The 15726-nt window shown below is 42.9% G+C and overlaps 1 protein-coding gene across 9 annotated transcripts in view, besides 3 other annotated features; it reads left to right on the top strand.

Moving 5' to 3' along the window:
• Positions 1-15726, top strand: part of LRBA (LPS responsive beige-like anchor protein) — a 751293-nt gene that overhangs the window by 47787 nt on the left and 687780 nt on the right. The window lies entirely within an intron of this gene.
• Positions 3052-3882: an enhancer, noted in NCBI's record as "NANOG-H3K27ac-H3K4me1 hESC enhancer chr4:151885211-151886041 (GRCh37/hg19 assembly coordinates)". NCBI's record gives its function as "activates a minimal SCP1, AML or CMV promoter by ChIP-STARR-seq in naive H9 embryonic stem cells {active_cell/tissue: H9 hESC(naive)}" and the evidence as "EXISTENCE:reporter gene assay evidence [ECO:0000049][PMID:30033119]".
• Positions 3883-4713: an enhancer, noted in NCBI's record as "H3K27ac-H3K4me1 hESC enhancer chr4:151884380-151885210 (GRCh37/hg19 assembly coordinates)". NCBI's record gives its function as "activates a minimal SCP1, AML or CMV promoter by ChIP-STARR-seq in naive H9 embryonic stem cells {active_cell/tissue: H9 hESC(naive)}" and the evidence as "EXISTENCE:reporter gene assay evidence [ECO:0000049][PMID:30033119]".
• Positions 13088-13708: an enhancer, noted in NCBI's record as "NANOG-H3K27ac hESC enhancer chr4:151875385-151876005 (GRCh37/hg19 assembly coordinates)". NCBI's record gives its function as "activates a minimal SCP1, AML or CMV promoter by ChIP-STARR-seq in primed H9 embryonic stem cells {active_cell/tissue: H9 hESC(primed)}" and the evidence as "EXISTENCE:reporter gene assay evidence [ECO:0000049][PMID:30033119]".

The following is a 15726-nucleotide window of genomic DNA, read 5'->3' as shown; positions in this document are numbered from 1 at the left end:
AATTTCAATGTTATGTCTCAGATAATAGGGTGGCCCAAAAAGAGGAAGAGAGATGGGGGAATAGTCTCTTGGTAGAGCTATAGAACACATACCACATTTATTAAGTTCACTATCTTATATGGACATGGTTTATGATACCCCAGAACAGTTACAGTAGTAACATCAAAGATCACTGATTCCAGATCATCATAACAAATATAATAATAATGAAAAAGTTGGAGATATTGTGAGATTTACCAAAATGTGACACAGAAACACAAAGCAAGCACATGCTGTTGGAAAAATGGTGCCAATGGACCTGCTGGATGCAGGGCTGCCACAAACCTTCAATTTGTAAAAAATGCTGTATCTGCAAAGAACAATAACATGAAGTGCCATAAAATGATGTATGTCTGTACTTGGATGGGAGACTAAAAATTCAAAGCAGTATCTATGAACTGAGCATATTTTGCAATGGACAAGTTTTATCTGGAAATGTCGTTTTGTAGAAGTGGGGCTAGAGCTAAACTTTGAATTTTAGGGAGGGAGAGCAAAGGCAAGGGAGTAGAATATTAAAACTCCTTCTGGATATAATAAATAGTCTGGACTGGATTGTATAGGGACAACATGGGAAGTGAGACTTTTTGACATTTTGCGTTGTTGCCCAAGTGATTAAAATTTTATTCTGTAGGTGATGAGAAGCCATGATGATTTTTGTTCAGGGGTTATTACATAGTTAAAATGGTCTTGAGAAGCTTGAGGTGGTGGTAATAATGTGCTATCATTAGAGTTCTGAATTAAATTGGAGTTATTTTTCAAGGAGGAATTTTTTTTATGTCCTTAATGTGTTAATGGTTTTTTAACTACTATTTAAAACAAATTAAATTAGACTTTTATTAAAAACCAGTGTTTACTTGATATTTTAAGTTTATGGAGTAAATAGTAGATCTCAAATAACTAATAAGAGATAGTGAAGGCTTATGTTTCTATGTTGTTTAGATTTCAAGGCCATGAGGTTGTCTCTGGGCCTCAGCCTGGGATTCCTGATGACACGACACTGAGGAAGACATTTAAATATTAATTCTTACCAAAGCTGTCTTGTTTCAGCCCTATTTTTTGAACTTCCATTTGTTTATGCTGATGGATGACATGCAATAGTAATAGATGTTTTGAGAAATACAGGCTGCAGTGTGCTCTTGTTTGGGAAAAATCTGTTAACTCAGCCAAATGCTTAAACTAGCACTGTTTACCTTCTTGGTTTTATAATACAAAAAATTATCTAGAAAGCATCCTGATTTGCCTTTTAGTTAATTTGAATAATTAAGAATGAACTAGCGGCCGGGCGCGGTGGCTCACGCCTGTAATCCCAGCACTCTGGGAGGCCGAAGCGGGCGGATCACGAGGTTGGGAGATCAAGATCATCCTGGCTAACATGGTGAAACCCCGTCTCTACCAAAAATTACCAAAAAAAAAAAAAAAAAAAAAATTAGCTGGGTGTGGTGGCGGGCACCTGTAGTCCCAGCTACCTGGGAGGCTGAGGCAGGAGAATGGCTTTGAACCTGGGAGGCAGAGCTTGCAGTATGTCAAGATCATGCCACTGCACTCCAGCCTGGGTGACAGAACGAGACTCCGTCTCAAAAAAAAAAAAAAGAATGAACTAGCAATACAAAACAAGCAGTAAGATGTAGCACTTAAGAGAATGAGCTACAAATATACCACTTGGGTATTTTGCTTTTAATGCATTTGCCTCATAAGTTGCTGATTCACTTCTTTTCTACCATCTTCCACTGCAGTCTCCAATATGTACTTCCCTTTCTCCAGGGGCAAAATTTCACATAATACCATAGTCAAAAACGAAAATGAAGATGGATCATGTACAAAACACTATCTTTATTGATATTAACATATTATTTGGGGTATCTCATCCAGTACCTGTGGGATGGTATTGTTTCTGGTCTGTCAAATATATGACTTTGAAACATTTTAACACAGGTCAAAAATAGGAATGTATTTAATGAAATCTCTCTCTATGACCTCTTTTCTCCTTGTTTCCAGCATACATTATCCCTTGCTCATCTCTCTCCTTCAGTTAATTTAGTCACTGCTTAAGAAAACCTAGGTCAGGCCCAGTGGCTCACACCTGTAACATCAACACTTTGCAAGGCCGAGGTGGAAGGACTGTTTAAGCCCAGGAGTTTGAGACCAACCTGGACAACTTGGTGAAACCCCATCTGTATTAAAAAAAAAAAAAAAAATTAGCCGGGCATGGTCGTATGTGCCTATAGTCCCAGCTACTTAGGAGGCTGAGGCGGGAGGATCCCTTGAGCCCAGGAGGTTGTGGCTACAGTGAGCTGTGTTCACGCCACTGCAGTCTGCCACCTGGACAACAGAGTGAGACCCTGTCTCAAATAAATAGATAGGTAGATGGATGAATGATTGATATATAGACGATAGAGAGAAAACCTGAAAAGTATTATTAGCAGCTCATGTATCCTTCTAAATTTTCTTAGGCTTTTATAAACTAATGTAAATACTTGTATGTTTCACTTGTTCATTGTACAGAAGGTGGCATGCTGTACCCCTTGTTCTACATCTTGCTTTTTCTTTGCTGATAATTTTTCTTATTTGTCTTTCTAAAGCATTTTATACAGAGCTTCTGTATTTTTAAAAGAGCTATATAAGTATTCTATTGCATAGATGAACCATGGTTGTCTTGACCCCTGTTTACTGGGTTGTTTCCAGTATTTTGTTATTACTAATAATACTTCAATAAATAATCTTTACATATACTATTTCATACTTAATGTAATTGTATCTATAGGATAGATTCTTAGAGATATAATTGCTGGGTCAAAGGTTTTATTCCTTTATAATTTTGGTTTATATTGCCAAACTGCCTTCCCAGGGATTATATTAATTTATTCTCCCTCCAGAACTCTATGAAAGTGCCTCTGTAGCATCTCCAACAGTATTAGCAGCTGTGGTTTTTGCCAGTCTAATAGGTGAAAAAGTGATGATTAATCAGAATTTAAATTTACATTTCCCTTATGACTAAGGTTGACCATATTTTCTTTGAATTATCCATTTGTATCCTTTGCTCATTTTTAAATTCATTTTTTTTAATTTTTTTATTTTAGTATTTATTGATCATTCTTGGGTGTTTCTCAGAGAGGGGGATTTGGCAGGGTCATAGGACAATAGTGGAGGGAAGGTCAGCAGATAAACATGTGAACAAAGGTCTCTGGTTTTCCTAGGCAGAGGGCCCTGCCGCCTTCTGCAGTGTTTGTGTCCCTGGGTACTTGAGATTAGGGAGTGGTGATGACTCTTAACGAGTATGCTGCCTTCAAGCATCTGTTTAACAAAGCACATCTTGCACCGCCCTTAATCCATTTAACCCTTAGTGGACACAGCACATGTTTCAGAGAGCACGGGGTTGGGGGTAAGGTTATAGATTAACAGCATCCCAAGGCAGAAGAATTTTTCCTAGTACAGAATGAAATGGAGTCTCCTATGTCTACTTCTTTCCACACAGACACAATAACAATCCGACCTCTCCTTCTTTTCCCCACATTTCCCCCTTTTCTATTCGACAAAACCGCCATCGTCATCATGGCCCGTTCTCAATGAGCTGTTGGGTACACCTCCCAGACGGGGTGGCGGCCGGGCAGAGGGGCTCCTCACTTCCCAGACGGGGCTGCTGGGCAGAGGGGCCCCCCCATCTCCCAGACAGGGTGGCGGCCGGGCAGAGGGGCTTCTCACTTCCCAGATGGGGTGGCTGGGCAGAGGGGCCCCCCACCTCCCAGACGGGGCAGCTGGCCGGGCGGGGGCTGCCCCCCACCTCCTGGACGGGGCGGCTGCCGGGCGGAGACGCTCCTCACTTCCCGGACGGGGAGGCTGCCGGGCGGAGGGGCTCATCACTTCTCAGATGGGGCGGCCGGTCAGAGACGCTCCTCACCTCCCAGAAGGGGTGGCGGCAGGGCAGAGACACTCCTCAGTTCCCAGACGGGGTCGCGGCAGGGCAGAGGCACTCTTCACATCCCAGACGGGGCGGCGGGGCACAGGCGCTCCCCACATCCCAGATGATGGGCGGCCAGGCAGAGACGCTCCTCACTTCCTAGACGGGATGACTGCCGGGAAGAGGCGCTCCTCACTTCCCAGACTGGGGGGCCGGGCGGAGGGGCTCCTCACATCCCAGACGATGGGCGGCCAGGCAGAGATGCTCCTCACTTCCTAGACGGGGTGGCGGCCGGGAAGAGGCACTCCTCACTTCCCGGACTGGGCGGCCAGGCAGAGGGGCTCCTCGCATCCCAGACGATGGGCGGCCAGGCAGAGACGCTCCTCACTTCCTATATGGGGTGGCAGCCGGGCAGAGGCTGCAATCTCGGCACTTTGGGAGGCCAAGGCAGGCGGCTGGGAGGTGGAGGTTGTAGCGATTCGAGATCACGCCACTGCACTCCAGCCTGGGCACCATTGAGCACTGAGTGAACGAGACTCTGTCTGCAATCCCGGCACCTCAGGAGGCCGAGGCCGGCAGACCACTCGCAGTCAGGAGCTGGAGACCAGCCCGGCCAACAGGGCGAAACCCCGTCTCCACCAAAAAATACGAAAACCAGTCAGGTGTGGTGGCGCATGCCTGCAATCCCAGGCACTCGGCAGGCTGAGGCAGGAGAATCAGGCAGGGAGGCTGCAGTGAGCCAAGATGGCAGCAGTACAGTCCAGCCTCGGCTCGGCATCAGAGGGAGACCGTGCAAAGGGGAGACGAGGACCGTGCAAAGGGGAGGGGGAGGGGGAGAGGCAGAGTGAGAGGGAGAGGGATTAAATTCATTGTTAAATAACATGTTACTTTGCCCCTTTTTATATTGAGTTGATGTTTTTGTTATTTTCTAGAAGCTTCTTATTTTAAAGGGATTGATTTGACTTGACTAGTGGTGTTTTTTTTTTTAATAAAAAGCTTTTTATTTTATTTTATTTATTTTTATTTCTTTTAAATTTTATTTATTATTTTTTTCAGACAGAGTCTGGCTCTGTCACCCAGGCTGGAGTGCAGTGGTGTGATATCGGCTCACTGCAACCTCTGCTTCCTGGGTTCAAGCAATTCTTCTGCCTCAGCCTCCCAAGTAGCTGGGATTATAGGCACATGCCACCACGCCCGGCTAATTTTTATATTTTTAGTAGAGACAGGGTTCTACCATGTTGGTCAGGCTGGTGTCGAACTCCTGACCTCAAGTGATCTGTCCACCTCAGCCTCCCAAAGTGCTGGGATTACAGGCACGAGCCACTGTGCCCAGCCAAAAGCTTTTTATTTTTATGTAGCTTGAATTTATTGTGCTATTCTTTTATAGTTAGTGGGTTTTGAATCATACATAGAAAGGCTTTTCTTACTCAGAACTTCCTTAAAGTTCTATGCTTTCCTGTATTATTTTGATGGTATTTATCACTCTGGTATTTATCCATCTCACTCTGTCACCCAGGCTGGATTGCAGTGGTGTGATCACAGCTTACTGTAGCTGGGACTTCCCGGGCTCAAGTGATCCTTCCACCTCAGCTGCCTGAGTAGCTGAGATCATAGGTGAGCACCACCATGCCCAGCTAATTTTGCATTTTTTTGTAGAAATGGGGTTTCCCCATGTTACCCAGACCAGTTTTGCACACCTGGACTGAAGCAATCCTCCTATCTCAGCCTCCCAAAGTGTTGGGATTACAGGTGTGAGCCACTGTGTCTGGCCTGAAATTTTTCCTGATTTGAAATATGGGCCAATTTATTTTTTCTACAAATGTCCATTTGAACATATGTAGAAAAAAATTGAATTCCAATTTAATGCTGTTTATTGAATTGTTTATTATTCCTCCATGATTTGAGATGTCACCTGAATGAAAAACAGAAAAACCATAGTGCGTACAGGTTAAGAGTGTGGACTTTGTAGCTAGATTACCTAGGTTGAAATTCTAGCAGCACCACTTCTTGCCTCTGAGATCTTGGGCAAGTTACTTCATATGTCTATGCCTCAGTTTCCTCAAATAAAAATACAATAATTGTACCTATCTCATGGAGTAGTCAGACATTTAATATACATAAGATTCTTAGTGCCTGGCACAAGTAAGTGCTCTAAAAATTGCTATTATTATGGTGTGATAATTTCCTGTTGTCTTTGGCACTATGTGTGGACTTTCTGTTCTCTTCTTCATCTAGCAGACATTCATCTACTGCTACCGCTTTTTAAAAAAGTTATTTTATTTCATATTATGTTTTAATCTCTGATGGAGCTAGCTTCCCATTGTTGCACTTCTTTTTCACAGCTTCCTGGCTATTCCTGTTTGCTTACTTTTCCTAGAGAAATTTAGAGTCAGCTTGTCTACTTGCTTCTCTTCTATCCTCCTAACCTTTCTAATAAAAATAATAAGACTGGTATTTTTAAAAATAGTATTTTTTGTTTTTGAAACTCATTTTCTGCAGCTGTTAAATCTTTTGAAATATATCAATGTTGATTTTTCTAGACTTTGTTTTTTTCTGGCTAATCTCTGTTTCTTCTGTCTTAGCTTTAAGTTTTCTCAGGATATCATGATGCCTTGCAGTATTTCTCTTTAGCTCTTATGCATAAGGTGATAGCATTTTAAGATCTCTTGGGTGAAGATTAGGCCTGCAAATATGAGTTCTTTTTAAGGACATTCTCTTTTGTTTAATTATTTCACATAGATTCAGTGATTCAAGAATGCATTTGTGAATATGGCTGTTTATCCTCCTCCCCCACCTGTTTGAGCCTGGGTTTGACCCTCAAAACCAAGGCAGTGGTTGGTGAGCTGAGGCCACCCACAGCTGAATCTCATCTACAGCCACAGCCAATATGGGGTGAGGATAGAGGGGTGTGACTGGCAATCAAAGCCTGTCTCCCCCATCACCATCAGGATGCAGTGGGCGGCCAAAGTGGCTATACATAACTCAGCAGAGAGGTGGCGCCATGTTCCCTGAGGCAGCTTGAGAGCACTGTTACTGTTTTGAGGTGACTTACATATGGAGGTTAGTTATGCATCAGAAGCTTCTTAGGAGTCACTGAAAGAAATGTGTTATATGTATTTAATACAGGCTGTGAGTTACAAGTTTACAAAAACTGAAACTACTAATTTTATGATGGAATTGCATTGCCTGAATATAGATGTTTTAAAATATGAAATTAACCATTGACAGAACTTTCTCATAAAAATTTTTATTGTAAAACTGTAACTATTGAAAAACCAAACCAAAACAAATATAAAACTAAAGGGCAAATAATTACCTTTAAACCACCATGTAGGTCAAGAAATAGAATTTTGCCAGTCATCTTAGAATCCCTCTAATTACAACTGCCTCTCTCCCTCAAATGGAACCTCTATCTTGACTTTTACAGTAATCACTTTCTTTTATTTATTTGTAATTATGTAATCTAATAATACATCCCTTATCTATAATTTAGTTTTTCTTAGTTTTAAAAAACACGTTTTTTAAGTCTCAGGTCATTCTATCTGTTAAAAAAACCTGGACCTTTTAAAAAACCTGGACCTTTTGACATTTAGCATTTCCCATGGTCTGGATTTTGTTAAGTGCATATTCATGGTGTAGTTTAACATGTTCTTGTGTCCTCCGTATTTCCTGCAAATTGGAAGTTGATTCCAGAAGATTTGGCTTCCATACCTTTGGCTAGACTCTAGGTGGTGCTGTGTTCTGTCATCCGGAGGCTCTTATGTCAGGTTGTCTCTTTTTATAATGTTATCAGCTGTTGATTCTCAACATCTAGATCCATTAAATCACTGGAGTCTGAATAATGATGATATTATATATATTTTTTCATGTATTAAATGGAATAGTTCTATGAAAAGATGTATTTAATTATCCAGTTGTATTTAGTTATCCAGTGGCACAGTTAATACATAGATAAGCCAGGCATGGTGGTACACACCGGTAGCCCCAGCTAGTTGGGAGGCTGGGGCAGGAGGATTCCTTGAACACAGTAGTTCAAGGCCAGCTTGGGCAACATGGGAAGACCCTGTTTCTTAAAAAAAAAAAAAAGTATGTATACGTACATGCACACACACACTTTATATATTTATGTATACTTTATATAGATTTATAAATATATTCTTTGTGTATTTACATTCTTTTATATATTTATATACTTTTTATATGTTCTTTATATATAATTATAGATAATATAATAAGTATATTAGATTTACACTATGTTACATATTATATAAATATTATATAAATATGTAATTGGAACAGTTTCATTCCTTTTATTCATTAATTTTGTAAGTAACAGCCATTTCTCTTCTTATCCTCTACAGGAGACCAATTCGTTGTTATTGTCTTTTTGAAATATTATGAATTAAAGGATTTAAACATATTTGATGGCAATTATTATTACTTTATTGAACCTCAAACTTTTATTTTTGGCCAGTAGGCACTTCTTCAGGTTGATTCCTGAGTCCTTTTGGTACAACCCTACTAGACTTTGATCATGTTTCTGCTATTTTTATGGCAAGATATTTCAGGCTCATATTTTCATTTCTAGTTCCAGACCTTGAACCAGCTATCATAATGGCTTGGCTGTGTCCCCACCAAAATCTTTCTTGAATTGTAGGTCTCATGTGGGAGGGACCCAGTGGGAGGTAATTGAATCATGGGGGTGGGTTTTTCCCCTGCTCTTCTCTTGATAGTGGATAAGTCTCACGAGATCTGATGGTTTTATAAAGGGGAGTTCCCCTGCACACACTCTTGGCTGCTGCCATGTAAGATGTGTCTTTGCTCCTCCTTTGCCTTCAGCCTTGACTATGAGGCCTCTCCAGGCATGTAGAACTGTGAGTCCGTTAATCCTCTTGCCTTTGTAAATTACCCAGTCTCAGGTATGTCTTTATTAGCAGTGTGAGAACAGACTCGGACAGTAAATTGGTAATGGTAGGGTGGGGTGCTGCTGTAAAGATACCTGAAAATGTGGAAGTTACTTTGGAAGTGGGTAACAGGAAGAGGTTGGAACAGTTTGGAGGGCTTAGAAGAAGATAGGGAAATGTGGGAAAGTTTGAAACTTCCTAGAGACTTGTTGAATGGCTTTGACCAAGATGCTGATGGTGAAATGGACGATAAAGTCCAGGCTGAGGTGATCTCAGATGGAGATGAGGAACTTGTTGGGAACTGGAGTAAAGATCATTCTTGCCATGCAAAGAGACTTGCGGCAGTTTACCCTTGCCCTAGAGGTCTGTGGAATTTTGAACTTGAGAGAGGTTATTTAGGGTATCTGGTGGAAGAAATTTCTAAGTGCTAAAGCATTCAAGAGGAAGCAAAGTGTAAAAGTTTGGAAAATTTGTAGCCTAATGATGCAATAGAAAAGAAAAACCCATTTTCTGAGGAGAAATTCAAGCCAGCTGCAGAAATTTGCATAAGTAAAGAGGAGCCAAATGTTAATTGCCAAGACAATAGGGAAATGTCTCCAGGGCATGTCAGAGGTCTTCACAGAAGCCCCTCCCATCACAGGCCTGGAGTCCTGGGAGGAAAAAGTGGTTTTGTGGGCTGGCCTCCGGGACTTGCAGCTTTGTGCAGTCTGGGGACATTGTGCCCTGCATCCCAGCTGTGGCTAAAAGGGGGCAATATACAGCTCACACCATTGCTTCAGAGGGTGAAAGCCCTAAGCCTTGATGGCCTATGTGTGGTGTCGGGCCTTTGGGTGCACAGAAGTCAAGAACTGAGGTTTGGGAACCTCCACCTAGATTGCAGAGGATGTATGAAAATACCTGGATGTCCAGGCAGAGGTGTGCTGCAGGGGTGGAGCCCTCACAGAGAACCTCTGCTAAGACACTGTGGAAGGGAAATGTGGGGTACAAGCGCCTCCACAGAGTTTCCACTGGGGCACTGCCTAGTGGAGCTGTGAGAAGAGGGCCACAATCTTCCAGACCCCAGAATGGTAGATCCACTGACAGCTTGCACTGTGCACCTCGAAAAGCTGCAGATGCTCAACGCCAGCCGTGAAAGCAGCAAGGAGTGGGTCTGTACCCTGCAAAGCCACAGGGGCGGAGCTGCCCAAGACCGTGGGAACCCACCTCTTGCATCAGTGTGACCTGGATGTGAGACATGAAGTCAAAGGAGATCATTTTGGAGCTTTAAGATTTGACTGTCCCACTGGCTTTGGACTTGCACGGGACCTGTAGCCCCTTTGTTTTGGCCAATTTCTCCTATTTGGAATGAGTGTATTTACCCAATGCCTGTACCCCCATTGTATCCAGGCAGTAACTAGCTTCTTTTGATTTTACAGATTCATAGGCAGAAGGGACTTGCCTTGTCTTGGATGAGACTTTGGACTGTGGACTTTGGAGTTAATGCTAAAATGGGTTAAGACTGGGGGGACTGTTGGGAAGGCATGATTGGTTTTGAAATGTGAGGATATGAGATTTGGGAGGGGCCGTGGGCAGAATGATATGGTTTGGCTGTGTCCCCACCAAAATCTCATCTTGAATTCTAGCTCCCACAATTCCCACATGTTGTGGGAGGGACCCAGTGGGAGGTAATTGAATCATGGGGGCAGGTCTTTCCGTGCTGTTCTCTTGATAGTGAATAAGTCTCATGAGATCTGGTGGTTTTATAAAGGGGAGTTCCCCTGCACATGCTCACTTGCCTGCAAAGACATGTCTTTGCTCCACCTTCACCTTCAGCCATGATTGTGAGGCCTCCCCAGTTCCACTGGGGAGTGGAACTGTGAGTCAGTTAAACCTCTTTCCTTTATAAATTACCCAGTCTCAGGTATGTCTTTATTAGCAGTGTGAGAACAGACTAATACAAGCTACTCCTTCAAGAAGCCCTGATTTTTAGTGAGAAATGGTATTTCAAGACCACAATCTGGGCAGTAAGCATGTTCATTGTTATTGTGTTGGTCATTGTTTGTACCCCTTTCCAGTTGATAAAACTACACATACACACACACGCACACACTCACACACATTACATATTTATGTGTGAGTGTGTATGTGTATATGTGTGTGTATATGTATTTTAAGATAAAATACCTAATTGGTTCATAGTGATACTTCCATTAAGTATGATGTTAGCTGTGGGATTTTCATAGATGCCCTTTGTCAGGTTGAAGAAGTTTCTTTCTATTCTTAGTCTGTTAAGTGTTTTAATAATGAAAGGTATTAGATTTTGTCAGATGCTTTTTTTGTCTATTGAGATGATCATGTGGTTTTTCATTTTATGGTGTATCACATTTATTAATTTTTGAATGTTAAACTGAGCTTGCATTCCTGGAATAAATCTCATTTAGTCATAGTGTATAACTGTTTTTATATGTTCCTGGATTTGGTTTGCTAGTATTTTGTTGAGGATTTTTGTGTTCATATTCATAAGATATATTGGTCTGTAGTTTTCTTTTTTGTGATGGTTTTGTCTGATCTTGGCATAAGGTTAGTACCGGCCTCATAGATTTAGCTGGGATGTGTTCTCTCCTCCTCAGTGTTTTGGAAGAGTTTGTGAAGAATTGTATTAATTTGTCTTTAAATGTTAGGTAGAATTCACCAGTGAAGCCACCTGGGCCTAAGTTTTTTTTTTGTTTTGTTTTTTGTGAGTTGATTTTTTTATTACTAATTTAATTCTTGTTGTAGGTCTGTTTGTATTTTGTATTTCTTTTTGAGTCAGTTTCTGTAGTTTGTATCCCTCTGAGGAATTTGCTCCTTTTATCTAAGTTGTCTAATTATTGGCATACAATTGTTCATAGTGTGTCTTTATAATCTCATTTATGTAAGGTTGGTAGTAATGCACTCTCATTTCTGATTTTAGTAATTTGAGTCTTCTCTTTTCTTCTTGGTTAGTCTAACTAAAAATCTGTCAATTTCATTTTTTTGTTGTTGTTGTTGAAGGACCAAAGAAGCCAGGTTGTATTGATTTTATTTTTAAAAATACCACTAATTTTATATTGTTAATTTCATTTTATTCTCATTTGTTTCATTCATTTCTTCTGTAATCTTTATTATTTTATTCCTTTTGCTTGCTTTAGGTTTACTATGCGCTTCTTTTGTAGGGTTTAAGATGGAAGGCTACATTATTATTATTATTTTTGAGATGGAGTCTCTCTCTGTTGCCCAGGCTGGAGTGCAGTGGCACAATCTCGGCTCACCACAACCTCTGCCTCCCGGGTTCAAGTGATTCTCCTGTCTCAGCCTCCCAAGTAGCTGGGATTACAGGCGCCCACCACCCCACCTGGGTAATTTTTGTATTTTTAGTAGAGATGGGGTTTCACCATGTTGGCCAGGCTGGTCTTGAACTCCTGACCTCAGGAGATCTGCATGCCTTGGCCTTTCAAAGTGCTGGGATTACAGGTGTGAGCCACGGCGCCCGGCCTACGTCATTATTATTATTATTGAGATGGGGGTTTGCCTTGTGTTGCCCAGGCTGACCTCGAACTCCTGGGCTCAAGCAATCTTCCTGCGTCAGCCTCCTGAGTAGCTAGACCACAGGTGGGTGCCACCGGACATGGCTTGGCTCCTTCTTTTTATGCATGTTCAAAGGTTATATTGTTGATTTAGTATCTTTCTTCTATTTTAAAGTAGGCATTTACAGCTATAAATTCCCTCTGAACACTGCTTTATACATTCCATACATTTTGTCATGTTGTATCTTCATTTTCATTCATCTCAGTGTATTTTCTATTTTCTTTTTTTCCTTTCCTTTTTCTTTTATGAGATAGTGTGTCACTCTTTCAGTCAGGCTGGAGTGCAGTGGTGTGATGGTGGCTCACTGCAGATTCTACCTCTCAGGCTCAGGTGATCCTCACAGGTGTCCTGAGACACTGGGACTACAGGCATGTGCCACCACACCTGGCTCATTTTTCTGTTTTTTGTAGAGACAGGGTTTCACCATGTTTCTCAGGCCATTCTCGAACTCTGGGCTCAAGTGATGCACCTGCCTTGGCCTCCTGAAGTGCTGGGATTACAGGTGTGAGCCACTGTGCCTAGCCTAATTTTTTTTCTTCACTTATTCTTTTATATAGGCTATTTAGGAGTGTGTTGTTTAATTTCCATATATTTGTTGAGTTTCCAAAATTTCTTTCTGTTATGATTTCTAGTTTTATTCCCTTATGGTCAAATGATATACTTGGTGTTCCTTTTATTCTTTTTTTTTTTTTTTTTTTTTGATTTCTGAGTCTAGGTTCTTTTTTTTTTAATTTTTAAAAAATTTTTTAGTATTTATTGATCATTCTTGGGTGTTTCTCAGAGAGGAGGATTTGGCAGGGTCATAGGACAATAGTGGAGGGAAGGTCAGCAGATAAACATGTGAACAAAGGTCTCTGGTTTTCCTAGGCAGAGGGCCCTGCCGCCTTCTGCAGTGTTTGTGTCCCTGGGTACTTGAGATTAGGGAGTGGTGATGACTCTTAACGAGTATGCTGCCTTCAAGCATCTGTTTAACAAAGCACATCTTGCACCGCCCTTAATCCATTTAACCCTTAGTGGACACAGCACATGTTTCAGAGAGCACGGGGTTGGGGGTAAGGTTATAGATTAACAGCATCCCAAGGCAGAAGAATTTTTCCTAGTACAGAACAAAATGGAGTCTCCTATGTCTACTTCTTTCTATACAGACACAGTAACAATCTGATCCCTCTTTCTTTTCCCCACATTTCCCCCTTTTCTATTTGACAAAACCGCCATCGTCATCATGGCCCGTTCTCAATGAGCTGTTGGGTACACCTCCCAGACGGGGTGGCGGCCGGGCAGAGGGGCTCCTCACTTCCCAGACGGGGTGGCCGGGCAGAGGGGCCCCCCACCTTCTGGACGGGGCGGCTGGCCGGGCGGGGGCTGCCCCCCACCTCCCCGACGGGGCGGCTGCCGGGCAGAGATGCTCCTCACTTCCCAGACGGGGCGGCTGCTGGGTGGAGGGGCTTCTCACTTCCCAGACGGGGTGGCTGCCGGGCGGAGAGGCTCCTCACTTCTCAGACGGGGTGGCCGGTCAGAGACGCTCCTTACCTCCCAGACGGGGTGGCGGGGCAGAGGCGCTCCCCACATCCCAGAAGATGGGTGGCCGGGCAGAGATGCTCCTCACTTCCTAGACGGGATGACGGCCGGGAAGAGGCGCTCCTCACTTCCCAGACTGGGCAGCCAGGCAGAGGGGCTCCTCACATCCCAGATGATGGGCGGCCGGGCAGAGACGCTTCTCACTTCCTAGACGGGGTGGCGGCCGGGCAGAGGCTGCAATCTTGGCACTTTGGGAGGCCAAGGCAGGCGGCTGGGAGGTGGAGGTTGTAGTGAGCCGAGATCACACCACTGCACTCCAGCCTGGGCAACATTGAGCACTCAGTGAGTGAGACTCTGTCTGCAATCCCGGCACCTCGGGAGGCCCGGGCTGGCAGATCACTCGCGGTAGGAGCTGGAGACCAGCCCAGCCAACACGGCGAAACCCTGTCTCCACCAAAAAATACGAAAACCAGTCAGGTGTGGCGGTGCGCACCTGCAATCCCAGGCACTCCCAGGCTGAGGCAGGAGAATCAGGCAGGGAGGTTGCAGTGAGCCGAGATGGCGGCAGTACAGTCCAGCCTTGGCTCGGCATCAGAGGGAGACCGTGCAAAGAGGGGGGGGAGGGGGAGGGGGAGGGAGAGAGGGAGAGGGAGCTATTCTTTTAAATTTATTGAGATTTGTTTTATGGATGAGTAACATGGTCTATCCTGGAGAATAAATATCCTATAGATGTTCGTGAGGTTAGTTGGTTTATAGTGTTGTTCACCTCTTCTGTTTTTCATGTTGATCTTCTGCTGAGTTGTTCTATTATTAAAATAAGGATTAGTTACCCTAATTTTAATTTAGTTAGCATGTTATTTTGTAACTAACAGAACTCTTCAGATACGCTCTTCAGATAGAAATGATCATTTGTGATCCAGTTGAAGAGAGTTTATCAGGGCTATGAACACATTAACACTCTAGCAGTGTGAACTTTGCTTATATGGAAACAGTTGGGGAGGTAGTAGAGGAAGACAAGATGGGCGAAGGGCTTGATGGAGGGAGATGAGGGGTCAGGGAAACAGAAGAGGAAAGGAAGCAAAATAATTGTAAGTGAGAAAGTGGAAGATGGACACATACACAGAGATATAAAGATGAATGCATTAAGACTGGGAGGAGGTCAAGGCCCATGCTTCCGTCTGTGCTCCGGGAGGAAGACATTCATGCATACACAGAGAGACAGATACTCAGAGAGTAAAGCACAGATACACATAATTTCAAGAGAGACACACTCAAAGAAGAGATATGCAGATACCAAGAACCAGAGAGAGATAGGTACAGAAACCCTCTCCACCCCGCCCACCCCACGCACAGAGAGAAAGAGAGAGAGAAACAGACGGCCTTATAGACGGTCAGGATGAGGCTCAGGCAGACATTGACAGACACAGGCAAAGAGACAGGCTCTTGGGAATGATGTTGGACATGGCCTTTACTACTTGGATTTTTTAAAGTCCTTTTTTTTATTGTTTAAAGCAGTATATGCTCATTTAAAAAAGTATGAAGTGAAAATGAAAGACTGACTGTCTAATTTCCCTCTCCTCAACCCACTTCTTTGAGGTAGCCATTGTTAATAGTTTATTGTCTGCCCTTCTTGCAGCACACACACCCATATACATCCTACACATTTTTATATGTATCAGCATCTGTCTTCATTTGTCTCTACCTATCTCTCTCTCTATAGACATACACACACACACACACACACATATACAACAGGTTATTTTGTACATATCTGCTTTTTTTCCT

Source organism: Homo sapiens, chromosome 4 (genome assembly GCF_000001405.40).
Source record: "Homo sapiens chromosome 4, GRCh38.p14 Primary Assembly".
Lineage (NCBI taxonomy): Eukaryota > Metazoa > Chordata > Mammalia > Primates > Hominidae > Homo > Homo sapiens.
Note: the sequence above shows the minus strand (reverse complement) of the source record. Positions and strands in the feature narration are given on the sequence as shown.